The sequence below is a fragment of the Homo sapiens genome, chromosome 18 (genome assembly GCF_000001405.40).
Source record: "Homo sapiens chromosome 18, GRCh38.p14 Primary Assembly".
Lineage (NCBI taxonomy): Eukaryota > Metazoa > Chordata > Mammalia > Primates > Hominidae > Homo > Homo sapiens.
The window spans coordinates 46,501,146-46,524,996 of NC_000018.10; the positions used below are offsets into that span (position 1 = coordinate 46,501,146).

At 47.2% G+C, this 23,851-nt stretch overlaps 1 protein-coding gene across 21 annotated transcripts in view, besides 1 other annotated feature; it reads right to left on the bottom strand.

Moving 5' to 3' along the window:
• LOXHD1 (lipoxygenase homology PLAT domains 1) overlaps positions 1–23,851 on the bottom strand; it is a 180,260-nt gene that overhangs the window by 24,185 nt on the left and 132,224 nt on the right. For 12 of the 21 annotated variants that reach the window (NM_001145472.3, NM_001308013.2, NM_001384474.1 and 9 more), the window contains 8 exons: positions 23,563–23,772; positions 23,321–23,456; positions 20,956–21,164; positions 19,952–20,137; positions 16,984–17,111; positions 8,553–8,670; positions 6,393–6,567; positions 4,693–4,878 (listed from right to left, as the gene is read on the bottom strand). In NM_001145472.3, coding sequence (NP_001138944.1) covers positions 4,693–4,878; positions 6,393–6,567; positions 8,553–8,670; positions 16,984–17,111; positions 19,952–20,137; positions 20,956–21,164; positions 23,321–23,456; positions 23,563–23,772 — 1,348 coding nt within the window. Of the gene's footprint in view, positions 1–4,692; positions 4,879–6,392; positions 6,568–8,552; positions 8,671–16,983; positions 17,112–17,733; positions 17,942–18,117; positions 19,112–19,152; positions 19,902–19,951; positions 20,138–20,955; positions 21,165–23,320; positions 23,457–23,562; positions 23,773–23,851 lie in introns of those variants that run through there. The other 9 variants (NM_144612.7, XM_006722391.4, NM_001173129.2 and 6 more) reach the window with 7 other exon arrangements.
• Positions 1,368–1,568: a silencer, noted in NCBI's record as "peak3133 fragment used in MPRA reporter construct". NCBI's record gives its function as "represses an SCP1 promoter by STARR-seq MPRAs in K562 erythroleukemia cells {active_cell/tissue: K562}" and the evidence as "EXISTENCE:reporter gene assay evidence [ECO:0000049][PMID:32103011]".

The following is a 23,851-nucleotide window of genomic DNA, read 5'->3' on the forward strand; positions in this document are numbered from 1 at the left end:
TTCAATCTTTGTGGATTTGGCTATTTGCTAAAATTTATTTGTAACCCTAAATTAATACTCATGTGGTCATTTGTGGACATATGCAGAGTGGCAAAAAATTTTAGTTGCCAAATGCCATGCACGTTCTCAGATGAGGCTGAACAAGGCAACACTGCCTTCTTGTTTCATCTCTCATGCCATAAACAATTGTCCTTTTCATGGTCTATTTAGTGCCATGTTTTCACATTTTTGTGCTATTTGTTAGTGAGTTCATTGTTTTAAAATGGCCCCCAAACATAGTGGTTGGTCCTCAAGCTGAAGTGCTATTTAGTGTTTCTAAATGCAAGAAGGCTGTAACGTGCCTTCCAGAGATGATACATGTTAGATAAGCTTCACTCAGGCATGACTTATAGGGCTGTTGGTCATGAGTTAAATGTTAATGAACAAACAGTAAATACTAAGTAAGATGTCTTTAAACAGAAACACACATAAAACAAGGTTATCTATTGATCAGTTGGTGAAAATGTTGTAACCAGAGGCTCACAGGAACCTAACCCTGTGCTTCCCTTAGGAGCAATGGTTCAGTGTTTGCGAATTCAGAGTTCACAGCAACATTATAGGGCATAACTACCGTGAATAGTGAGAGCCAGCTGTAATTGATTTGTTAACAGAAATAAACATTAAAACTGAGGGGATTGTTAGGCCTGCAAAGGACCTGGACTGCTCATTTTGTCTCTGAAGAGGACACATCAGGTAGGAGGATGAAAACAAGAAAGGGGGAAACTTGCATGTCACTAAAGACAATCATTATTCCTGACTCCTGAAATGTGATTACATGACTTTTTCATCTCCCCTTTCTTTCTCCCTGTTACATACAGTGGCTTAAATATTTGGCTGTATAAGGACATTTTTAAGCAAGGGATTCTAGAAATTTGCTAGAGAGAAATAAACATTTTAAATATTTTGAATTGCTTTGCTATTGAGAAGCAAATGAGGCCTCATGTTTCTTCTATTAAATTTATGTCCAGGAAACTATGGAGTAGGGAATTGACATACCACATCTTGGGATTTTACTTTTTGAATCTTCTTCTCAAATATATGAGCCTTTACTTTCCTAGATGGTTTGGAAGGAAGGGTACAGTATGGAGGCAGGAATGGCTGAAAGGACTCTGGAAGGTTCATCCCGAGAAACAGGCTGAGACAGAAGGTATGGGAGCAACAGGGGAAGCCATCCAGGGAAGAAAGGGGTTAATTAGGTGGAGTTCAGATTTGGATAAGATGGAGTTGCAGGCAGGAAGCAGAGATGAGCTCTGATCTTGGATCCGCAACTCTCTACCTTTTATTGATGTGAATTGGGGTTGGAATGCATAGTAATCTGGACCATCTTGTCAAGCATCTGGATGTTTGTAGCAGGCCAGGTTGAAAATAGGCACCAAGGAAAGAACCTGGATCAGCCTGTGGAGTCCAGAGTTGAGAGAAGCCAGAGAAGGAGTCAGAACCACGGACAGCTCCTCTTGCCCCTGCCCCTGCCCCAAGACTGCTGAGTGATTTCTACAGAGTATGGTCCTTAACACAGCATCCTCAGTCTTTCTGGCTATATTCTCCACTCTCACCCCTCATGAATAAAACACTCATATTGTAAATGGCTCTGGCATGGAAAAGTTGGGTCATCATAGTCTACATGAAATTCTCCCCTCTCCAGTTTTCTGGGCTGACTGGGAAGAGGTTAGGGAACCCCGTGCTTCTGGTCTCATAGTGAGTCTTAGAGGAAGGGCTCAGGCTGCTGGGGATACCACTTCTTCCTTCCCAGGGTTCTAATTCCTTTGGGTCTCTGCTATTTCTGAGATAGAGGCTATGGCAGAACAGGATTAAAAGACCTGGTATTTCTCAGCTCTCTGGGGGGAGTCTCAATTAAACTAACATTTATTAAGCCCTCACTATGCTCCAGGTACTGTTATAAGCAGTTTTGAAGATAAAGATGAATAAGGCATGATTCCTATCCTCAAAGGCAGTGACATCTTGCCAGTGTGTGCTGGTAGCCAGACAGAGAGTTGGAAGCCCACAGACATAATGTACTTCTTTCTGATTAAGGCAGGGACATAGTTCTTGGGAACATATTTCCTAAACAACGGTTTAGGCACTTTAACAGGAGAGACTGTAGACAAGCTCTCCTGTTAGGGTTAGGGTAGACAGACCTTGTCCTTACCTTCCCCACACCCATGCCTGCCACCCTTACTAATCTGATCTGTCAAATCCCTCTAATTAGGCCTGTGGAGATACACAGAATGTGGCTCAATGCTTTCACACTTGTCTTGACTACGTGATCACTGTTGAGTGTCATGGGAAGATCTCATCCTGATTTTGTGAAGTGTCTGGGGCAGAAGATGGTCCTAATGATTATGGCTACTGTTATTCAACCAGACTTGGGAAACTGCTGCTAATCCTAAGACAATCAGAATGGATGATGAGATGGAGGGAAAGAAAACTCAGGAGTTTTTGTTTTGTTTTCATCTTAGGAAAGAGGAGAGGTGCATTAAGGATATTTGAGCATGATTTGCGAGTATGTTTCTTTCCACAGACTCATAATGCCACTTGAATGATCAAGTGAGGAAGAAGAGTTCCCTTCCACTGCATGCTTTTCTGGACAAGACTAACCCGGATACACCCTGATATTGGGGGGTGTAGCAAACAGAGATAAAGAGGCTGCCTCTCATCACCTCATCTTCTTGACCACCTGACACAGTGGCTGGTGAGGGTGCAGAATGGTGGCTGGCAAGATGGGCCGGCACACAGAACGGTGTGTTAGAACAGGCATCAGAAGACCTGGGTTTGGGTGATGGCTGGTTTGGGTGTCCCTTCCTTGCTGTGTGGTTCTGAGTAAGACATTCAAACCTCACTAGACTCAATATTACTTGGTTGTAAAAAGAGGAGCAATAAAGTGCTTTTGCTGCAGTAATTCACAAAGGTTTCTATTTGTTTGTTTTTGACTGTTTTGTTTTGTTTTTTTTTGAGACAGAGTCTCACTGTTACCCAGGCTGGAGTGCAGTGATGCAATCACAGCTCACTGCAGCCTTGACCTCAAGTGATCCTCTCATCTCAGCCTCCTCAGTAGCTGGGACTACAGGCATAAGCCACCACACTTGGCTAATGTTTGCATTTTTGGTAGAGATGGAGTTTCGCCATGTTGCCCAGGCTAGTCTCAAATTCCTGGGCTCAAGTGATCTGCCTACCTCAGCCTCCCAAAGTGCTGGGATTACAGCTGTGAGCCACAGCCCCTGGCCTCACAAAGTATTTTTGAGAATCAAATGTTTGTATCTTTAATACCTAACAGAGTCCCAGGCATGTCATGAATACTTTAGATGTTCCGTATACAAATGACTGGTGGGATACACTGAAATTTGAAAACTGTGGAGTGCTGTGTAAATATTTGTTATTTTATTGCCTTAAAGGCTATTTTATCAATGCCTAGTCTGAGTTTATTCTGTGTTATGGAAAAAATTTTAACTGTTTAATCCACGTTAAAGCAAAATAGCTTAGCTCCTATGGAAGAGAGGTTGCAAACTACCGAGTTGGGTTTCGTCAGTGACCGTGACAGATAGGCTAGTCCTCCGCAGGGGTTTGGAAGAAGTGAGGAACAACACAACATTCAGGACAGCTCTGGGCAGCCATTTGGGAGACCCAGCAAAGGCTAGAGAAGGCTTTGAGCAGATAGCTTTGCAGAGACATGTTTCTACAGAAGACAAAAGGGTGAATGAAGAAAGCGGTATGCATCAAGGAGGTGGAATTTAATATTTAACAACTCTATCCTAATTATAACAAATAGAACTTATAGGCCCAAAGCCAGAGAAAATAAAGTGGCTTAAAGACAGCAAAATGATAACCAAAGAAATGTTGAGAACATGAACGTCATCACAGTTATAGAAATGACAAAGCATTCCTTAGGCACTGCAAAGTTAAAAATATATTTCTCACTTGGTTTATATCCTATTTCATAGTTTATATTTATAAGTGAATTCAACAACTTTAGGATTACTATTATGAATAAACAAGCATAATCCCTTCTTTTTTTTTTTTTGAGACAGGTTCTCACTCTGTCATCCAGGCTGGAATGCAGTGGCACAATCATAGCTCACTGCAGCCATGACCTCCTGGGCTCAGGCAATCCTCCCATCTCAGCCTCCAAGTAGATGGGACCACGGGTGCATGCCACCATGCCCAGCTATTCTTTTTTATTATTTGTAGAGATGGGATCTCACAATGTTGTTTAGGCTGGTCTTGAACTCCTGGGGCTCAAGCAATCCTCTCACCTTGGCCTCCCAAAGTTCTGGGATTACAGGCATGAGCCACTGCACCCGGCACAAACATAATCCTTTATAGAAAATCCATGGGAAATGAACTGGTGATTTAGCTTTTTTTCTTAATTTTTAAAGCCTGAACTAAGTCAAATTAATGCTCTGAAATCACAAACAATGGAGAACCACTAATCACCCAGGGAGAAAGCAGGAGGAACTAAGCTTCCTCTCTAAAAATATTTGCCCAGAAACACTGGCTCTTTCATACTGATGGAAGCATCAATGTGGTGGTCATCAACTGTGTTCAGTTTTCTGCCACCCTGGGGTAATCAGAGTCAATGTGCTGCCAGGGAGGGAATAATGGCTCAGGAAGGGAGCTGAGGGCTGCCCTCCCACCAACCTGGCCTTGAGTGGGAGCTACCTTTGTTGTCGTGCCAGACCCTCAGCTTGCAGAGGTGGCCCAAGCTCAGCATGTCAGGGAAGTTGAATGTGTCCGTGTTGTTCCGCTCAAACTTGTTCCAGTTTGCCGACTGCTTCAGGGCCAGTGTCCCACTATCCCCGTTCTCCCCGAAGATGATGATGAACACGTTGGCATCAGTGCCTGCTCCTGGGGGGTGCACAAGGTGAGGCTTAGGGTGCCAGCCTCTTTGACACACAGTCCTCTTGCTCTGGCCTTGATCCCGGACTCCTCAGAGGAGTCAGGGGTACAGGTGGACAGAGTACAGACTCAAGAAGGCCAGGGGTGAGGTTGGAAAGGGTCAATTACTGTCCCAGGTCTCCAATTCTCTTCTTCATCTTATCTTTGTGCCTTACAAAAGCTTTTGGTCTAACTGGAGTCATGGTCAGCAAGTGTGAATGGTTTAGTACAAAACTCATCTATTTCTGGGGAAATATACCCAAACTTAAAAGGCGTGTCATATAGGCTGGCTTTACAGTTTAGAAACATAGGCTACCTCCTGCACAGTGTGGGTTCAGAAGGAAGCAGGGAAGTTCTGTGTTCCCTAAATCTGTCTCTGATTGACATTCTACACTAGAGCTTCATATCATTTGCTTAAGCCAAATACAGGTATTGGCCCAAGTCAAAAGCAAATGCTTCTGGAAGGGGTGACCCAGTGAAGCTTTTCTGACACACATCTGTGGTTATCAATGAATTTATTATTTTCTGAGTGCATCATAAAGGGATGGAGGGGTCTGAAAACATATGACACTTGGAACTTTAAGCAATAGGGGTAAAAGTTCCATTGTGAGAATAGGAAGAAAGGAGGTACCCCCAACAAAATTTACTAGCTTTATTGACCTATCATTTATGCCTGAGATCCTACTATGAGAGCTTCATTTATCTGGCAAGAGGCTTCTCTGTTGAAAATGTAAGCTACCATGGCCAACAAGTTAATCCTTCATTCACCATTTATAATTAATGTGATGAGCTTGCCAGATTCCTTGTAATGGCTCCTGGAGAGCAGGCTTGGGATAGGGGAGTGTAGGTAGGAGGTACTGCCCCCATGCCTGGATGACAGTGTGTTCCCTCTCAGCTCCTGGCCTTTAACATGCTAATACTTTTGATTAGAAGATCCTTCCTCTGGGTGCCCTGTCTGCCTGGCTTCTGGATTTGTCTTTCTGGACTTGACTTTGGCATTGCATCCATCGGAGCGTCACCGCACTGCACTGTGGTTGCTCCAATGAAGGTCAGACCTGCAAGGTTTGGGCAGCACATCTGTATCCTAAGACCCACAGCCAAAGCCGGCACATGGTAGATGGCCACCAAGCACATGGGTCCGAGCATGCCTGAGGTGCATGACACTTGGGCGAGGGGTGCCAGGCAGCAGAAGGAAGATGGGAAGGCTCTGCATCAAGTGCCTGTACCATTTCCAAAAGTGCTGACCATACTCCCCAGTAATGTTCTCCCCTATTTCCCCAAGGGAGGAGGGAGGGAACCAGTCACTCCCTGGGAGGAGATGCTTTGTCCAGACAGAAAGCGACACACTGTGGAGAAAACTTGGATTGACTAGATTTTGGAAGGCCTTATGAAGAAAAATGCCCTGACCAGAAACAAGGGCCTGAGCCCGAATTTGACGGTTGGAGTGGTAAGGGAGCGGGAGGTGTGAGGGACCCCCGACCCACCCAGGATGTCGCTGGTCTTAACTGCGACGGTGTAGGAGGTCCACTCCATCATTTCTTCCTCATCGATAACGGCACACATTTCACACACCAGGGTCTTCTTGCCCTTCCGCTGGGACAGCCAGTCTCCATAGTAGAACATGGTCAGGTCTCCAGTGTTCATGTTCTTCAGTAGGATCTGGGGGAGAGGGAGCCACCGTGGGAATGCCCTGTCCTCCCTCACCTCCACCAGCACCCCCTGGCTCATGCAGCCCCTCCCCGAATCCCAACCCTGGAGATCCCAGACCTGAGACAAGCGCTTGCGACTGAGACCCACGGGGTGTGGAAAGGGCCCTTTCCAGGACAAAGGCCCTGTCCTGTGTGCCTGGCATGGGATTTGAAGTCCTTACGAGGACTGCCCTAGCTTGGGATTTGGGAATGGGCAATTCACCTAAAGCTGTGTCCTCAGAGGTGCCTGTCACTGTGCACAAGAGATATTTGCTGAAAGAGTGACAGAAAAATGGACCAACCGAGCCCCTGTCAGCCACAAACACCTGGGAGCAGAACGCTGACATTTGCAGGTTAGTCCTTGGTGTGGGCACCATATTATTGACTCAAGAAAGTCTGCTAATGGCTGAACAGGGGAGGAGGAGCCTGAGGCGATGCAGGACAGCTGGCCTCTGGTAGACGAGGTTGCATGGGCTGACTCAGGTAGGGGACTGCAGGGCTTTGTGTTATGGGTGGAACTGTATTCCCCCAGAATTCATATGTTGAATTCTTAACCCACAGTCCCTCAGAATGTGACCTTATTAGAAAGGGGATTGTTATAGGTGTAATCAGTTCAGATGAGGTCATTAGAGTGGGCCCTAGTCCAATCTTATACCACCCAGACATGCACCCAGAACGCCATGTGAAGACTGGCATGATGCTGCCCCGAGCCAGGGAACTGCCAGAAGCCAGAAGAGTGGCCCAGAACAGATGTTTCTCTAGAGCCTTCAGAGGGAGTGTGGCCCTGCCGACACCTTCACCTTGGACTTCTGCCTCTATGACAGTGAGGGAGTAATAAATGTGTGTTGTTCTAAGCCTCTAGTCCATGGTGCTTTGTTATGCTGCCTGAGACTATAACATACATTATGTAAGGAGGACTGGCACAACACACAAGTTCGCATGCCTAGGACCTCGTGTGACACGGAGGCTGCAGGAAGATCATCTTTGTCGGCATAGTCATTGCCTTTATGAGTCTGGTGCTGCAGATGAGGCTCCTCCTGGCTGCCAGGGGTCTCCAGCTTTGGAGCCACTCTTAGCATGGAAAGCCCTTGGACTCCTAACATCACAGTGGTTCTCATCAAAATGAGTGCAGCTTGGCCCTATGCCGTGGACGCTCTTCTCTCTGCCCTGGAGCAGCAAGTGTTAATGACTCTCCTCTGGGCAGCCTGAAGGCACAGAGCCGCACAGCTGGGGAAGGTGAGGAAGTGATGAGAGGTCCTGAGAAGGAGCAGCTGCCTTCCTTTCTTGGTGGAAACTGAGTCTGTGGCCATGTGCATGTATGTGTGTGCATATGTGCCCATGCATATGTATGCTGGGAAAAGCGGGAGGATGGAGGCAGAACTAAGAAATCCCACGCTGCTGTTGCTCCTTGAAGATCCCAGCATCCCATCCCCAAGGCTGGCTTCAGCCCAACTGAGAGCTTAAGGATCCAGGTTCCTCAGGCAGGGTGCTGACGGCCAAGCTCAGACTCAGAGGCCCACAATGGAAAAAGAAGCAGCTGCCTAACTCCGTGATCACAGAGGCCCCAGTAAGCTTTCTGCCATCCTGCCTGAAGTTCCCACCATGGCAGCCTCTCTCTGCCCCAGGCCTTGCTCCTCCTCTCTCAACCCTCCCAGCTGCTGTCCTGAAGGAAGCCCACACCACCCCTCCCCTTTCTCAGGTCTCTGTCCACGTAACGTTGACAGCTCTTGTTTAATTACCTGACAGTTGCTTCAGTTCTCACTGGACACAAATAAATAAAACGACATTCTCTGATTAATTCATGCCAAAGGGCATACTGGATCATATGGGCTGGGTTCATGTAATGATCCTCTACAGTGACATTTGTGCTTTAACAAGGTCCATTGACAAGCCAGAGGAACCAGGGGAAGGGGTGGGTGGTGGCTGGAAGGAAGAGTGAGGGTCTAGACATTTTACCCTCTCCAGGAACCACTCCGGCCGACTGCCCAGGCCATCAATCCGGATCCGCATCTTGGTGAATGGAGCAATGTCTAGGATCTCCATGATGAAGGTGTCGTTCTGCTCCCGCTCAAACCTGGGGGTGGAGAGGAGGGGCATGAAGAAGGGAAGCTGGCCATTGGGGAGGGTTGGGGTGGGCCAGGCCAGAGGCCAGGTTTGGGGTGAGGGAGAAGATTAGGCCTTTACTCAGCAGCCCCTCTGCTCTCAGCAACTCTCCACCAGCCCATCTCTTGCATCCCAGATGTGTTCCTGAAAGACTGGGTTAAGTGAGTTTGGCTAGTAGAAATGGCCCCGAACCAAGAGGTATCAGTGCTGGGTTCTAATCTCATTCTACCAGTCACCTAGAATAGTCCTAGTTCCTTTCTAGAACTTGGTTTCCTTACCTGTGGTCTGGAGAATAACACTAGCCCTGCAATCTCACAAAACTGTGATGGAGACCAAATGGATGTGAAATCAACTTAAAATGGAAAAATAATTCCATATCTGAAAAGCTGTAAATGAGATTCTGTGCATGACAGGCCCGTTGCGAATGGTGGGGCAGGCTGTGCACTGCACAACTCTAGATGGCATCGTTCACATTTTTCTATTTGCCATCTGCAAAACTGAACACAGTGCCCTGAATTGGGTAATGCTACTGCCAACTGTAAAGCAGTAGGCAAATAGAAGGTAATGCTGCTTTTGTTGCTATTATTATTTTCCTGCTGAATGACCTCATCATCTCAGAGATGCTCTATCTTTATTCCTTACTGCTCTTCCCACAGTGCCGCATGTACAATTCGACCTTCAATGCTGACTGATTGCTTGACTGCTGACTGATTCCAGATGATACTGCTGATAAGGCCCTCGGGGTAATGCAGGTGGCACTGGAGATGTGGCTCTGCATGGCAATCGTCGTGCTTCCTTGAATACAAGACATATTTTTATGTCTTTTAAAAACAGAGGCCATAGCTGATGGCGGCTGAGACTTAAATATTGCAAATTGAGAACTAACTACTGCTAGTCTTAAAGGTGGTGGTGAAACAGAGACAATCTCTTCTGACAACTTGCTCTGTGTGCATTTTACAATTATTAGAAGTAAAAAAGTTATCTCAAAGTCAGCCCCATATCCCTCCTCCTCTAATTGAAGCCCCATCTGTCCCTCTGGGCATAATGGAAACTGTAAGGAGGTGCTCATGTCACATTCATGTCACACACTGAGATTCTCTCAAATAATCTTTCAATTCCTTACTCTTGCCAGGAGCATGATTTTGCAGATCAAAAGAGCTTTAGAATTCTTCGCTTTGCATGTCTCTTTAATTTTCACTCTTTGAATTTAGCCAAGTGTCTTCATTTTATGGAGATTTTATGGTGGGACAGGTGTAAGGAAAAGGGGAGGAGAAACAAGCTTTTCTTCTGGAAGACTGCAAGGAGATTACATTTACCCCCTCACCCTTCATTCCAGGCTGAACCCCAATTAACCTGGATGGACTTCCTCTCTTCGGTGTAAAACCATCTAAAGTGAAGGCCCTTATTTGTCCTTCAGTCTTCCCAACTCACTAGCCACATCCTTCCAGGTGCCCCAGACCCCCTCCAGACACCTCAGTTGAGGAGCCAGCCTTTGATCCAGGCCTTCTGCCCCTGGTTCACAGGGACAGGGCTGTTGTGTGGCCCAGGATTTTTGCTGTTCATCTACTCAAAGGATCCTCTGCTCAGCAGCTGAGGCAGTGGTGTCTAGGAAGGGCCCCCTTTGGCTGCCCCTCACGTCCTTCCTATTCTGGTTTCCTTCTGTTCCTGCCTGCTATGAAAGGCTGTCCTTAGGGAGGGCCCAGCAACCACTCCCTCACTGGGCTCCATGACTGAGCACAGCCTGAAGGCTAAACAGGGCCAAAGGCTTAGGCTGGAAGGACAACTATTTCATGGGAGAATTTTTGGCATTGCTACAAAGCCCGGGAAGGGTTATGGTTAGGGACCCTGGGAGAGGGCTGGCCAGCAGATGGGGATGGATGGTGTGGGGTCTAAAGCCCACCACGCTGGGCAGCTGCTCAGGCAGTTTGTCTTTGTGACATCTTAGGGGCATAGCTGGGGCTCTCAGGATTGGCCAGGGTCAGAGTGCCAGTTTTAGCTTTGCTCTAGACCACCCTCCTTCCAGTCTGAAGTTCTCCATATCCAAGGCCATTGAGCCTATGCTTGAAATCACCTTTGAAAAAATTATAACAGAAAATTTTGGCAGTGGAAGAGATCTGATTTAATCAACCCCCATCTTGCCTTTAGCCTTCAAACTCCCCTTGATTCTTCCTGAGTTTGGGTCAAGCTAACTTTGGGAGACATTTAGTGTATAGTTTAAACGATAATAGCCCTTCCATAAAGTTAAGGAGAGACTACCAGCCTAGGAGGATGAGAGGAGCCTGAATTCTGCTAAAACATAGACATAAACATTGCCAGCCATTATTACAGATATGCACTTCCCCAATTACCCCTGCAGATAACAACATCGCCATTTTAAACTGAAGACTGGCCTTTAGAGATGTCTTTTCAGGTTTTTTGCATGTCTGATGACCAATGGCTCCACCTGGACCTGCCAACAGCTCTTGTGGCCCCACCCAGAAACGACTCAGCATGCAATGAGGGCCATTTCCCAAACCCCTATAATTGTACCCCCAAACCAATCAGCAGCAAGCACCCATTGCCTAGACACCCCCATTTCTTCTCCCAAACTATCCTCAAAAAACCCTTGTCTCTGAATTTTCAGGGAGGCTGATTTGAGTAATAATAAAATTCTGGTCTCCCATTTAGCCAGCTCCACATGTGTAAAACTCTTTCTCTATTGCAATTCCCCTGCTTTGATAAATCAGCTATCTCTGGGCTGTGGGCAAAATGAACCTACTGGGTGGTTCCATGCTTAGACAGCTCTACTGATGGGGCTCCATGGCCACCCTTGCAGCTCTTTTCCTCTTAGGACATCCATGGCCAACCTTTAGTAAGTTTTTGTTACATTGAGTTCTGCCACCAGAATAAATTGTTGAATTGTCAACATCTGACCAATCTCAGTGCCTCTACTCTCTTCCCTCTCTACCCCTTTGAAACAAACCACTGGATCTCTCTCTTCTCCAGGGTCCTCAATGGAATACTATGCAGCAATGAAAATGAGCAAATCACAATCACACTCAACAGCTCAGGAAAATATGAAAAACCTGATGCGGAGTGAAAGAACTAAGACATAAAATAAGATATATGGCCTGATTCTATTTAGGTACCATTCAAATCCAGGTGATATAAAAGCCTATCATTAGGTATGAAATCCAGGTGATATGAAAGCATAGCCCCATGAGATGGAGATCAAAAAAGAAAGGAAACAAGAAAATGTTTACCTTAAAAGCTGAGAACTGTCAAGATTTAATTTCTTGGCCTGAAGGCAGCATGGAGGGTTTACATAAGTTTTTGCTTTACAAGTATCAATAATGTATGTACTTTTACATATATATGTATGTTCATGATAAAATGTTTAAAAATGTAAATGTCTCTAGAACCTTTGACTGTTCTTCATGTGACAGAATTTTCAGATCCATGCTCTGTGGATTGTAGCCCCTGTGGTAGGCTGAAAAATGGTCCCCCAAAAGATATCCGTGTTCTAAATCTTGGAATCCATGTATATAACTGTATGGTAAAAAGAAAAGGGAGGTCTTTGCAGATGTAATTAAGTTAAGAGGCTTGAGATGGGGAGATTATCCTGGATTATTCCAGTGGGCCCTTAATGTAATCCCAAGAGTCCTTATAAGAAGGCAGAAAGAGAGAGATCAACACATACACAAAAGAGGTGGGATGTGAAGATGGGGCAGAGATGGGAAGACCTGGCCTTGAAGGCTGGAGTGATGCAGCACAAGCCAAGGACTGCTGGCAGCCACCAGAAGCTGCAAGGAGTGGATTCTCTCCCAGAGCCTGCAGGGCACATGGTGGTGCTGACACCTTGATTTCCACCCACAGATTCTGATTTCAGGTTTCTGGCCTCCGGAAAAATGAGAGAAGAAAATTCTGTTGTTTTAATTACCACTATGTTTATGGTAATTTTGTATCACCACTTCAGGAAACTAATATAGCCCCAAGTGATGTGACTGGAAAACTTTGGGACCAGAAAGCAGGTAGACAAGGGGAGGCTGCCTTGGAACTCACACAGAGAAAATTCCAAGCCTGGGGCTGGTGAGCAGCAGGGAGTTGGCTTCAGTGATGATGTAAGTGTCCATGGAGGCTGAAGTAACTGGGACACAAAAGACAGAGCCTCCAGTCCCAGGCTCTGCTGATCTGGGCTCCTTAGGGACCACTGGGAAAGCTGGACCTTGTGCATCCCCTACGAGACATATGAGGTGATGGGGAGCTGCATCTCTATCTTGTGGGCATCTTTGCTGTGGTTTGAGAGTAGAACAAGGTCAAATCTTAAACAGATTCTAAGTCTCTGCTATTCTTGAATGCCATGATCAGACCTAGTACATATCTGCCAGTCTCCTCTTAAAGGGCAGCCCTTGAGCTACAGATGGTGCTTTGAGAGGGGTGCCCAGCAGTGAGTGCAGGAACTTTTCAATTGCCTGACTCGGGTGCCCCTGGATGGCAGCAGTTCCTGGAACTCAGCTTTCCTTCCTCTTCTCTCAGACCACCATCATTCATGCTGTCCCCTGGGACTCACCTCCAAGCTCTCTGAGAAGGACTCAACCTTCCCACCCAAGTCTTCTGCCCATGAAGTCCCCAAAGATAAGCCCTTTGCAGTCTCAGAGCTTTATTGCTAAAAAGACTAAGATTCAAGTGATAAAGATGTGGAAGAGAGAGTCAAAACTTACAAGCTTACTACAGCCCTAGACATGGTCACAGCCAAGTATTTCCTGATCCTTTCCTGAAAGGGCAACTGGAATCCCATTTGAGTGTCTGTCCTCTGTTTCCATTCCCTTGAGCTCAGCCTCTTTCCATGCTCTTTGTACTAAGGGTTAGTGAAAGCAATAGGCCATCCTGAAGGGTAAACCCAGCAGAACTCTTTTGTGACACAAAAAGGGACCCAAAATCCTTTTTGTGTCCAGTCTAAGGAAGCTCCCATTTCACTAGGTTTCTACTGGGCCTAGGCATGACCCCTCATAGGCATTTACTTCCCGCTATAGAAATACCACAATTCTTTGTCTAAAAATAGTTTCTACACCCACTGGACACCAATCGCCTCAAATCCCTCTGTTAGAGACTCATCTCCTGAGAGTATGCATTACCTTTTAGGGCATCATATTTTCTGAATGCCATATTAATTCACCAGCATCTCATGGGAGTTAATTTACCAGAACCATTTTCTCTGAAGTGGCAAGATGAGAAGTTGGGAAATTTAGCTGGGGAGTGGGATAGAGTGAACTGCTATTGGCTATTGTAAGCTTCAGCCCCTGGGTATAGCATCTGACTGCAGGAGCGTTGCAGCAGGTAGAAGCCTCATGATACCTTCTGTGTGAATGCATGCATATCTCAGCCTCATTCTGGTCACATACCATTTGAAAGTATCACCTTGCACAATAGCAAGCTGTGCCCATGACACATGCCCAGTGGGTCTTTCTATCTATCTTCCTAGTCAAGATACAGACATTCTTAACAAGGACTTCAAGACACAGGTGAAACATCAGGCCACATGCAAATGAAAAAATCAAAACATGTCTCGGGTAACAGCCCTGAGCTTGCAAACCAGGGTAATCAAGAAATGATGGCTCCCCTCACAAAATAAATCTTTATTCAGAAAAAAAAAATCTTTTAACTAGCAAGGTGGCTCAAAGCATTTACAATATGGTTGTATTTATAATGATGTGATTTTCAAGCAACATTTTTGGAATTTAGATACTTCCAGAAACGAGATGCCTCTTCCACCAGCAATTAAGCCTTGTACATCTGGAAAACAAGTTGGAATGTAGGAGTGGGATAGTTAATCAGAGAAAATCCAGGAATATGGGGTTGGGTAGAGATTAGAGTCACAGTACAGAAGTAAAGACTATAGGAGACTGAATATGCAAACAATAGTAGCCAGACCATGTATGATAATAGAACTCTGAGCTGCCTCCTCTGCAGCGACCATCCCAAGAAACCACGGTCTCTACAGAAATTGGTCCAGAATGGTCAGGACTTGGGCAATGGCCCCCAGCTTCCCTATTTTGTCCCTGCTCCCAACTCAGGACTAACCAGACCGACGGACCAAATCCAGATATGCTCCCCAATGCAATCACGTATGAAATCCCGATTCTGGCTACCCTACCTCCAGCTTTACCACACCAAAAATAATGCTTCACTATAAAGCTCCTCCTCCTCTCACAGCCTTCAAATCTCTACCAAACCAAGTGATGGTAACTGAGTCTCTTGTTGTAGCAAGCTCTAAGTAGAGAGTTTCTGTTCTCATTTGGTCCTCCTTTATTTCTAGAACCAAGTTCAAATCCCAGTTCCCCTACTTACTTGCTGTATAACCTTGGGCAAGTTATTTCACCTCTATGTGTCTCAGGCATCTTACTGGTGGAGACGATAAGAGTACAAAGAGTGATAAGAGGGGTGTTGTGAGTTAATATATATTAAAAAGCACTTGCAACAGTGCCTGACATGGAATAAATGTTCAATGCATGTTAGCCATTATTATTATCACGACTGCTGTTGATATGGGAAGAATTCAAGGAGGAAATGGGAGTTGCAAAATGAGACAGCAGAAGTGCTAAAAGAAGACAGACACAAAATCAGACCCCCAGGGATGAGCTGCATAGGGCCCATAGGATGGGCAAAGCTCCAGCTTGCACGAGCTGCTCCGTCCATGAAAAGAAATGCTGCCTGGTCCTCAAAAGCTTCAGTAGCCACATCCTCATCATCACCAACACCACCTTCATCACAATTATCATCCCTACCATCATCACCTTCATCCCTATCACCACTGCCACCATCATAATCATCATCATCATCACCATCACAATTATCATCCCTACCATCATCACCTTCATCCCTATCACTGCCCTCATCATCATAATCACCATCATCACCATCATTATCATCATCATCACCATCATCACAATTATCATTTCTACCATCACCTTCACCCCTATTACCACCACCATCATCATCATCATCCCTACCATCATCAACATCATCATCCCTACCATCACCTTCATCCCTATCACCATCATCACTACCATCATCCCAGTCATCATCCCTACCATTCAGCACCATCAATATCACCATCCTCACTTATCATCCACAATGTCCTCATCACCACCCCAATCCAGAAGTATTGAGTGCCTACTATAAGCAAGGCAAGAGCTAGGAGGTATGAGGGGCTCAGAAAGGAAGCCGCCTGGGTCCTGCCCTCCAGCTAAGGGAAGGAGTGCTGTGTGTTCAGAGGCAAGTTGCTGTGGGTGGGTTTTTAAAATGTTAAGCTTAGGATCCGAGTCTGTCATCTCTGGTTCTTAAGATGTCAGGGGCCAGGGATGTTTGGGGGACAGTGGCTGAACATGACAAACCAGCCCAAACCCAGGACTGTCTAAATTGGGAATCCAAGGGAGGACAGGGACAATGAGTACTATAGGAGGGCCATCTTTAATGTCATTACTAATCACTAATGAGTGATTAGGACTGGGGGCCATCTGGGTATAGTTTGCAGTGCCACAGCTTAACGGCCATGGGACTTTGAGCATATGACTTTACCTTATTGTGCCTCAGTTTCTCACCTGTAAAATGGGGATGATAATAATTGGGTTATTATTATAGGGTTGAGGAAAAGACTAAGTGTATCAATACATGACTTATGATAGAACAATGCTTGGCACAAAACAAGCTTCTATAAATGTTAGTGTTGCTGTTATTGCCCTCCTTAGGTTAAGCTGTGTAAGTACAAGGACCCTTGTCTTCTTGGTTATATCATCTCTTCAGTGCCTGAGTCAGTGCCTGGCATATACTAGGTGTTCAGTCTTTTTTTAATGTTTTGAAAATTGACTATATTTTATTTTGTAATCATTTGAGACTTACAGAAAAGTTGCAAAAATAGAATAGAGCTTCTGTGCCCCCTTCACCTAGCTCTCCTTAATGTTAACATCTTATATTGCCATAGTACAGTTAATGAAACCAAGACATTAACAATGATACAATACCATCAACTAATCTACCAACCTTACAATAAACAATTTTGAGTACCAAATGAAAGAAAGAAGAAATGTTATGGGTAGAGGTGATCAAGGAATACTTCCTGGGGGAGGTAGATTTGAGCTGGCCCTTGAAAGAGAAAGGTACTGAGACAGAATAGACAAAGGCAGAGGAAGGAAGGCCTCATGGTCTGCAGCGGGCATGTGAGAATCAGCCTGGCTGAAGGCAGGGTGGGGCAGAGGGGGAGAGTTGAATGTGGGAGGGGTGAGGGGCAGGGGCCGCCTCCAGGTACCTGGCTTTCTTTTTGTCCAGCTGCATCTCCTCTGTGCTCCCGTTGATGCCGTAGAGGGTCATGAAGATGTTGGAGTCAGTGCCCCCGCCAACCACATCCCCTGTCCACACCGTCATTTCATAGAGAACCTGCCATGAGAGGAATGCAGGTGCTGAGTCTCAGCCTCACCCTCCAACCCCACCTGACCTGCCTCAGTCTCACCAGAGAAAGAGACACACTGTCCAAGTTCCACAGCTCTGGAAAGAGCCCTTCCTCAAATCAACTGTAAATGCCTGGACAGCAAAAGGCAGCCTTGTCACTCTCTTATATACCCCACTGTGCCCAGTCCCACCCTAGAAAGGAGTTCTGACAGCCCTTCTGCAATAGAAACATGATGGAAAGCCTGGCGTTAACTGACGCTGTCAGTTGAATTCCAACCTAAGTCCAGGCATGCCAGCAGCGCATGGTGGCAGGACAGTGGCCTTTGGAGCCCTCCAGAGCTCCATGTGAATCCCAGACCTGCCACCTGCTGGCTGTTAGACCCGGGCAGATGCCCGACCTCACCAGCCTCTGCTCCCCTGTGGTAAAATAGGGATAAGCTCCCTTGCAGAGTGAGAGCTGCTGACAATTCGCATGGCACCTGGTGCTGAGCCTGCCACCTGTGCAGCCCCAAGCAGCAGCCAAAGCTCTGGGTGTCAGTTCCCCTTCATGCCACAGCCTGCACATGCCCTGCAGCTGCGAATGAGGGGTGCCATCGGGAGTGATTCTTACAGAGGGAGCACTGCCTCAATCCACTGGAGAAGTGAGACAATCCCCTAGTTCCATGATGTTCACTTGAGATTGGGGTTTTGCCATTTAGCCTGAGGTGTGCTCCAAAGAGAATGTCTGCCCTCTGTCTCCACTGGAGGGTGAGGCGCAGCCTGCTCTTCCTGGTGTGCCTTCACCAAGCCCCCACCTCGGTTCTTCCTCTGTGAGGCAGCCTCGTGGCAAGAGAAAGCACTTACACTGATGTTCTAGAATGTTCTTTGGTCCCAGATTCTTACTCCCTTCCTTCTCACCAAGTGCCCCTGGACTCACAGTGAAGTCTGAAGGTTCAGGAGAGGCTCAGACACACGGTTGGGGAAGGGCCATCTTGACTGTCTCCTTTGAACGTACCTGGTCCAGTGTGTCCCTTCTCTGGAGGCTGCTACATTCCTCTATCACCTGTGCAGGGGCCTGGTCCCCATTACCCAGAAGCCTGGACCTCCAAACCGGAGCTATTAATCACAGCGGTCATGTTCCCATCATTGTCCTGGTGGGGGTTGCATGCTTTTCTGGCAGCATCTAGAATCTCTGCCAGGACACTGTGAGGTTTGAAGTATTCTGTGCAGGCCTGGCCCGCAGGAGAAATTCAGGACATGTTTGCTGAGGGAATGGATGAAGAGCCTCTTGCTTTACCAAGAAAATCCCCTTAGGCCACCCAACAAGGGCATTCATGATGGGCAGGAGGAGCCACTGGGAACAAAAGTGCGAGCCTGACACTTTTTTGCTCTTATCCAGGCAGGCATAAAAAATAGAATGATCAAAATGAGTGCTTCAGCTGCCCCATGGAGACTGGCCCCTGAGAGCTGGTCCGTCCGACTCTTGTGTTCTCTGCATCCATCTTTCTCTCCTTTACACAGATACATCTCTTTTTATGTAATAAGTGTGCTTCCAAAAAGAGACAGAAACAGTGCTCTTGTAATTCTAGTCTGATACCAGGTGTCCTGGGGAGATGGCCAGCCCAAAGAACCCTGCAGTTCTTTGTAAAGTGACAAACCTGTGTTCCTTTGTGCCATGGATAACGGGTGTAGGTCTGGATTTTCCTGGACTAAAGGGCTCCAAGGGAGCTGCAGCTGCACTGCGTGGGGTGTGCATGTGTGCTGGGCGGTGGCACAGAGGCACACACAGGCTGGGAAGTGGGTCAGGCGGAGGTCCCTGGATGAACTGTGTGCTCACCCACACCATCCGTCTGGCCACAGATGGAGATGTCTGGGGGGTAGGGGAAGGATGTGCGCTATAGAAAGTGCTGCTCTCTGAGTCTCTAGCAGGCGAGAGGCAGGAGAGTGGCAGGCCCCCACACTCCTGCCTGTCAAGGTTTTTAGAGCCCCACTTCTGTTTCCATATACAATGTAGGCAGAGCACACTCAGGTCCAGGTGATTTCTTCTCACCTTTGTGGGACAGCTTCTGACCTGGTCCAAGAAGCCCATTGGTTTTGATTCAGTACCAGAGATAAGGGCTGGGGCCTTCTGTTGACCCCATAGCCATGAGCCAAAAAGAGAAACCCACAGGGTCAGGTGAAACAGAGGCTTCTGGGCCACCAAATGGCTGTGTGTCCTCAGATCCTAGCACCAGGCATCTGCCTCCTGCCTGGCCTGACCTGTGCGTTTATATAATTTATCCCAGGTCATTTGACCAGTTAGAGATGGAGCCAGGACCGAAGCTCAGACCTCTTGCCCTCCAGGCTTTTTCAGTTAAGGAGGGTATTGTGTGGACACCATTGGCTGCACCGTGAGACTCAGAGATTCACAGTATCCCAGATGCCATCTTTCCTATCACCACTCTACTGCTGTTGATGGTGGATCCTTTGGTGAACAATGACCCTGCCTGTCTACATAGAGCTGCTTACTCACAAAGCTCTTCATGAATTGTGATCTCATTAATTCTCAACAAGACCATACATGGAACAGGCCATGAGTAGCAGGGATGCATTATTTCTAAGCAGTGTATGGGAAGACCAAGGCCCAGAGAAATGAGATGACTTGCCCAAGGTCACACGGCAGCAGACCAGAAGAGAGTTCAGTCTGCGGCTCCTAGCAAAGTACATCTGGCTAGCACACCAGGCTGCAGCGCCTGCGGATGCCCCAGTGATGAGTCTCCTACTTCTTCCACTTCTGTCTCCCCTGCTGCTCCCCACCTCAACCTGCACTGCCCTGGCCATGCACTGCACACTCACAGTGCCCCCCCTACCTTCACCCCAATGTTCACCACCATGGCATCCAAGAGGTCGAAGACACGGGAGGTGATGCCGTCGCCTCTGTCCTTGGCCAGCCAGCAGTTACAGTTCAACATGTACTTGGTGCCCTGGGTGGGCACTGCCAAACACAACTCTTCCACCAGCCAGCAGCTCTCAGGGGAGGCCCCGTCATGGCCCAGCTAGGAGGAGACACACCTGATCTGTGACGATCTGGGCACAACTGGGAAGGAAGTGCTCCCTGCCCAGCCCCCTCCCTCAGTGCTTCTTCCCAGTATGCTGTGCACTTGCTGGCCCAGGTCCCTCCCATGAAGGTGAAGAGATTTTGCAGATATAATTACAGCCTCTAATTAGGTGACTTTGAGTAGTTTGGACCTAATCAGGCGAGCCCTTAAAAAAGCATATCTAGATGTCAGAGGTGAAGAAGTTGGAGATATTTGAAGCAGAAGAGGTTGTCTCCTATTGAACAAGAAAACAGCCAGGTTTTGGAGAGGGCCTCATGGTGGGGAATGGTGGGCTGCTGAGAGATGAAGTCCTCAGTCCTACACCCCCAAGAAAATGGATTCTGCCAACAACCAGTGAGCTTGGAAGATGACCCCAAGCCCCAGATAAAATCGCAGCCCTGGCTGCAACTTGATTTCAGCCCACTGAGATCTCAAAGATGGACCCCCACTAACTCACACCTAGACTCCTGACCCATGAAACTGTGAGATAATACATTTGTGTTGTTTTAAGGCACTAAGTTTGTGATAATTTGTTACACAGCCATAGAAACTAATACACAGAACATTCCCACTGGGTGGGTGGAAGACAGACACACAGAGGGGCAGGTGGCTCACCCAAAGTCACCTGGCTAGTTGGTTCTTCTCTGCTACCTGCTCTAAGGGGTGCTGCAGGTAGGCTGTTCTTCCCACCCTGCACTCTCCCGCCCACCCAGGAACTGGTCAGCTCTGTCTATCCCTAGGGTGGTCACTATCATGGGGCCCCGAGAAGCCAGCACCTCTATTTTCTTGATGATGCCCACATCCAAGCCTGCGACGTAGAACTCCTCCACAGAGCCACGGCTGAAGCCCCTCTTCCCTCGGGGGTAGTCCAACCAGATGCGCTTACTACGTTCATCATCCTCCCCGATGAGAAAGATGAAGGCTCGGCTGTCAGTGGCCGCGTCCTTGTGCTTCCCAGTGGTGACTGACACATAGTAGGGAATAACTGCAAGAGATCACGGGGCTCAGGTTCATAACAGACCAGATAGACAAGGCACTGCCTCATAGACTCACAGATTTGGAAGTGACCTCTGAGGGCACTGATCTCAGCTCCTTGCTCAGAGACAAAGTGCAGTGAGCCCTTCAGACTGGTAAGTTATCTGTGGTGTGTGTCTCCTCTCCAAGAACTGAGGGAGTTGCTAACTCCCAATGTACAGACCAAAGACAGCATTCTTGTCATTTGTTTGGAGTGTCAAGCTTCTAAAAGCTCTTTTGACCAATTATCCTACTTGAACCTAGCACTATTATGTGAAGGAGGGTAAGAAAAATAACCTCTCACCACGTATAGGCATTATATGCCCAAAAAGCTCCCTATGGTCAACAAAAATGCTGTTGGCAAAAGCAAGGTCTCATAGAAAGAAGGAATTTGAAGAAGAACATAAAAATGTATCATATATGCCACATAGTGAATGAAAGTCCTAGAAGACAGCAATTTCCAAAACACACCAGATTAATCAGCATAAAACTTACTCAGGTAGTGTCCATAGAGTTGTAGTTTCCCACCAACTATCCATTCTTCTTGCAGCTGGGGTGGTTATGACATGGAAGGAGACATTGTTGGGTAGGTTTCTGGGGAAATCTTTTTTTTTTTTCTTTTTTTTGAGATGGAGTTCCACTCTTGTTGCCCAGGCTGGAGTGCAATGGCACGATCTCGGCTCACCGCAACCTCTGCCTCCCAGGTTCAAGTGATTCTCCTCCCTCAGCCTCCTGAGTAGCTGGGATTACAGGCATGCACCACCACACCTAGCTAATTTTGTATTTTTAGTACAGATGGGGTTTCTCCATGTTGGTCAGGCTGGTCTCAAACTCTTGACCTCAGGTGATCTGCCCACCTTGGCCTCCCAAAGTGCTGGGATTACAGGCATAAGCCACCACGCCTGGCCAGGAAATCTTCTTTAAAAGGTCTGACTCAACTGGGAGGAGTACTCTTTTTTTCCTTACCCTTCCATTCATTCTGCTTGGAATATGGATGTGATGGCTGGAGCTCCAGCATTCATCTTGGAACCATAGGCAACATTTAGGTCATTTATAAGGTTGCCAGAATGACCAGGTTAAAGGAACCTAGGTCCTTGATTGCACTGGAACTGCTATATTAGTCCCAGGTGGCCTACCTTTGGACTTTTATGTGAGTGAAAAGAAAAATTCCTAATTTGTTTAAGTCACCATTTCCAGGTCTCTGTCATTTGCAGTTACTAATTGATACAAGTTGGAAACCCTTCTCCGGGTTCATCTTTCTCAATAGCTTGGAAGACACTACCCTGGCATAGTGGATTTTAGGTTATACAATCTGTATTTCTTTGAAAAGTTTCCAAACTGTCTCTTCCTGGCTGGAATTACTTGCACATGGCCTTATTTTATCTTTACAGGGGGAGCCTTTCCACAGGTGATCATAGTGCTTAAGGAAAGGTACTTTCTTGGTGGTCCTATCACTCATTTACAGAGTGAAAAGGTAAACTGCAAGCAGACTGACTTTCTCTGCCTGACTCCACAGATCCACCATGTGGCCTCCTGGAGGGGGATAGCATGGTTGTCACACTCTTATGTTTAAGAGAACTGACTATGAAAGTAGTGCATTCAAATGTTTGATAGGCAATTTAGAACTGCCTTATCTCAAAAATCTGGTTAGCAAAAAGAACTTGCCAGGGAACTCTGATATTGTTTTATGGAGGAAGAAAAAACTGAAGCCAAGAGACTGGCTTGTCCAAGGCCACACATTTTATTTTCAGAATCAGAAATGGAACTTCAGTCCCCAAATGACCATCTCAGGACTTCTTCCCCTGCCTTCACCACCACATCATGCCTTAAGTTTGCATGACTGAGTGCTTTGTGTGATGCTCTAGTGACAGGTAAGGGATGTTCATTCTCACCCTAACTTCCTTTAACCTTTGTTTCCCCATCTGCAAAGGGGGCTTAGCCCTGCCCTCTCACCTTGCAGGGTTGTTCTGGGGATAAAACAGGTAATATGTGTGAAAACTATGTAAATGACTAAGTGTTAGATATGTCATCGGTGATGGTGGGGCTCAAGAATGGCTCATCCAAGAATTGCTTTAAAACATTTCCATGTGCCTGGCCCCCGTCCAAAGAGCTCCCTGGTTGGCTTACTTGGGCCCTCTTGAACGTAGTCAGCCATGGGCCCGGTCACTGTGCTGATGTCGACATCGGCCATCTTGGAGCTCAGGGCGATCTCCCAGAAGTCAGCAGGGCTGCTGCAGTTGCTGCTGCGGTCCCCAGTGTACTCCTGTGTGGGAGAGCAGGACTGGCAGTTGCAGCTCCAGCACCTCCACCTCGAGGGACCTCCCCTAGGCATGAGGATGGCCACAGGCCCTATATACCCCTTGGCTCACCTTCTCGTAAAAGAGCCTCTCGAGTCGCCCATCCTCCTTCTTCAGGGAGAGCCAGCGCCCGCATAGGAACAGGAACTCGTCCTCGTTGGTGTCATTCCAGATCTCCACCTTCTCCACGTACCAGTCTGCGCACCACTTGGAGTTGTCATGGCGGAGCTTGATCTTGTAGATGACGCCTAGGTCAGCGGCCTCGATGATGAAGGTGTCAGCCTGGGGAGCCCAGATGTGGGGACTCATATGGGGGTGTGCCACCCACTCAACCCACTCCAGCCCCACCCTTCTGGGACCT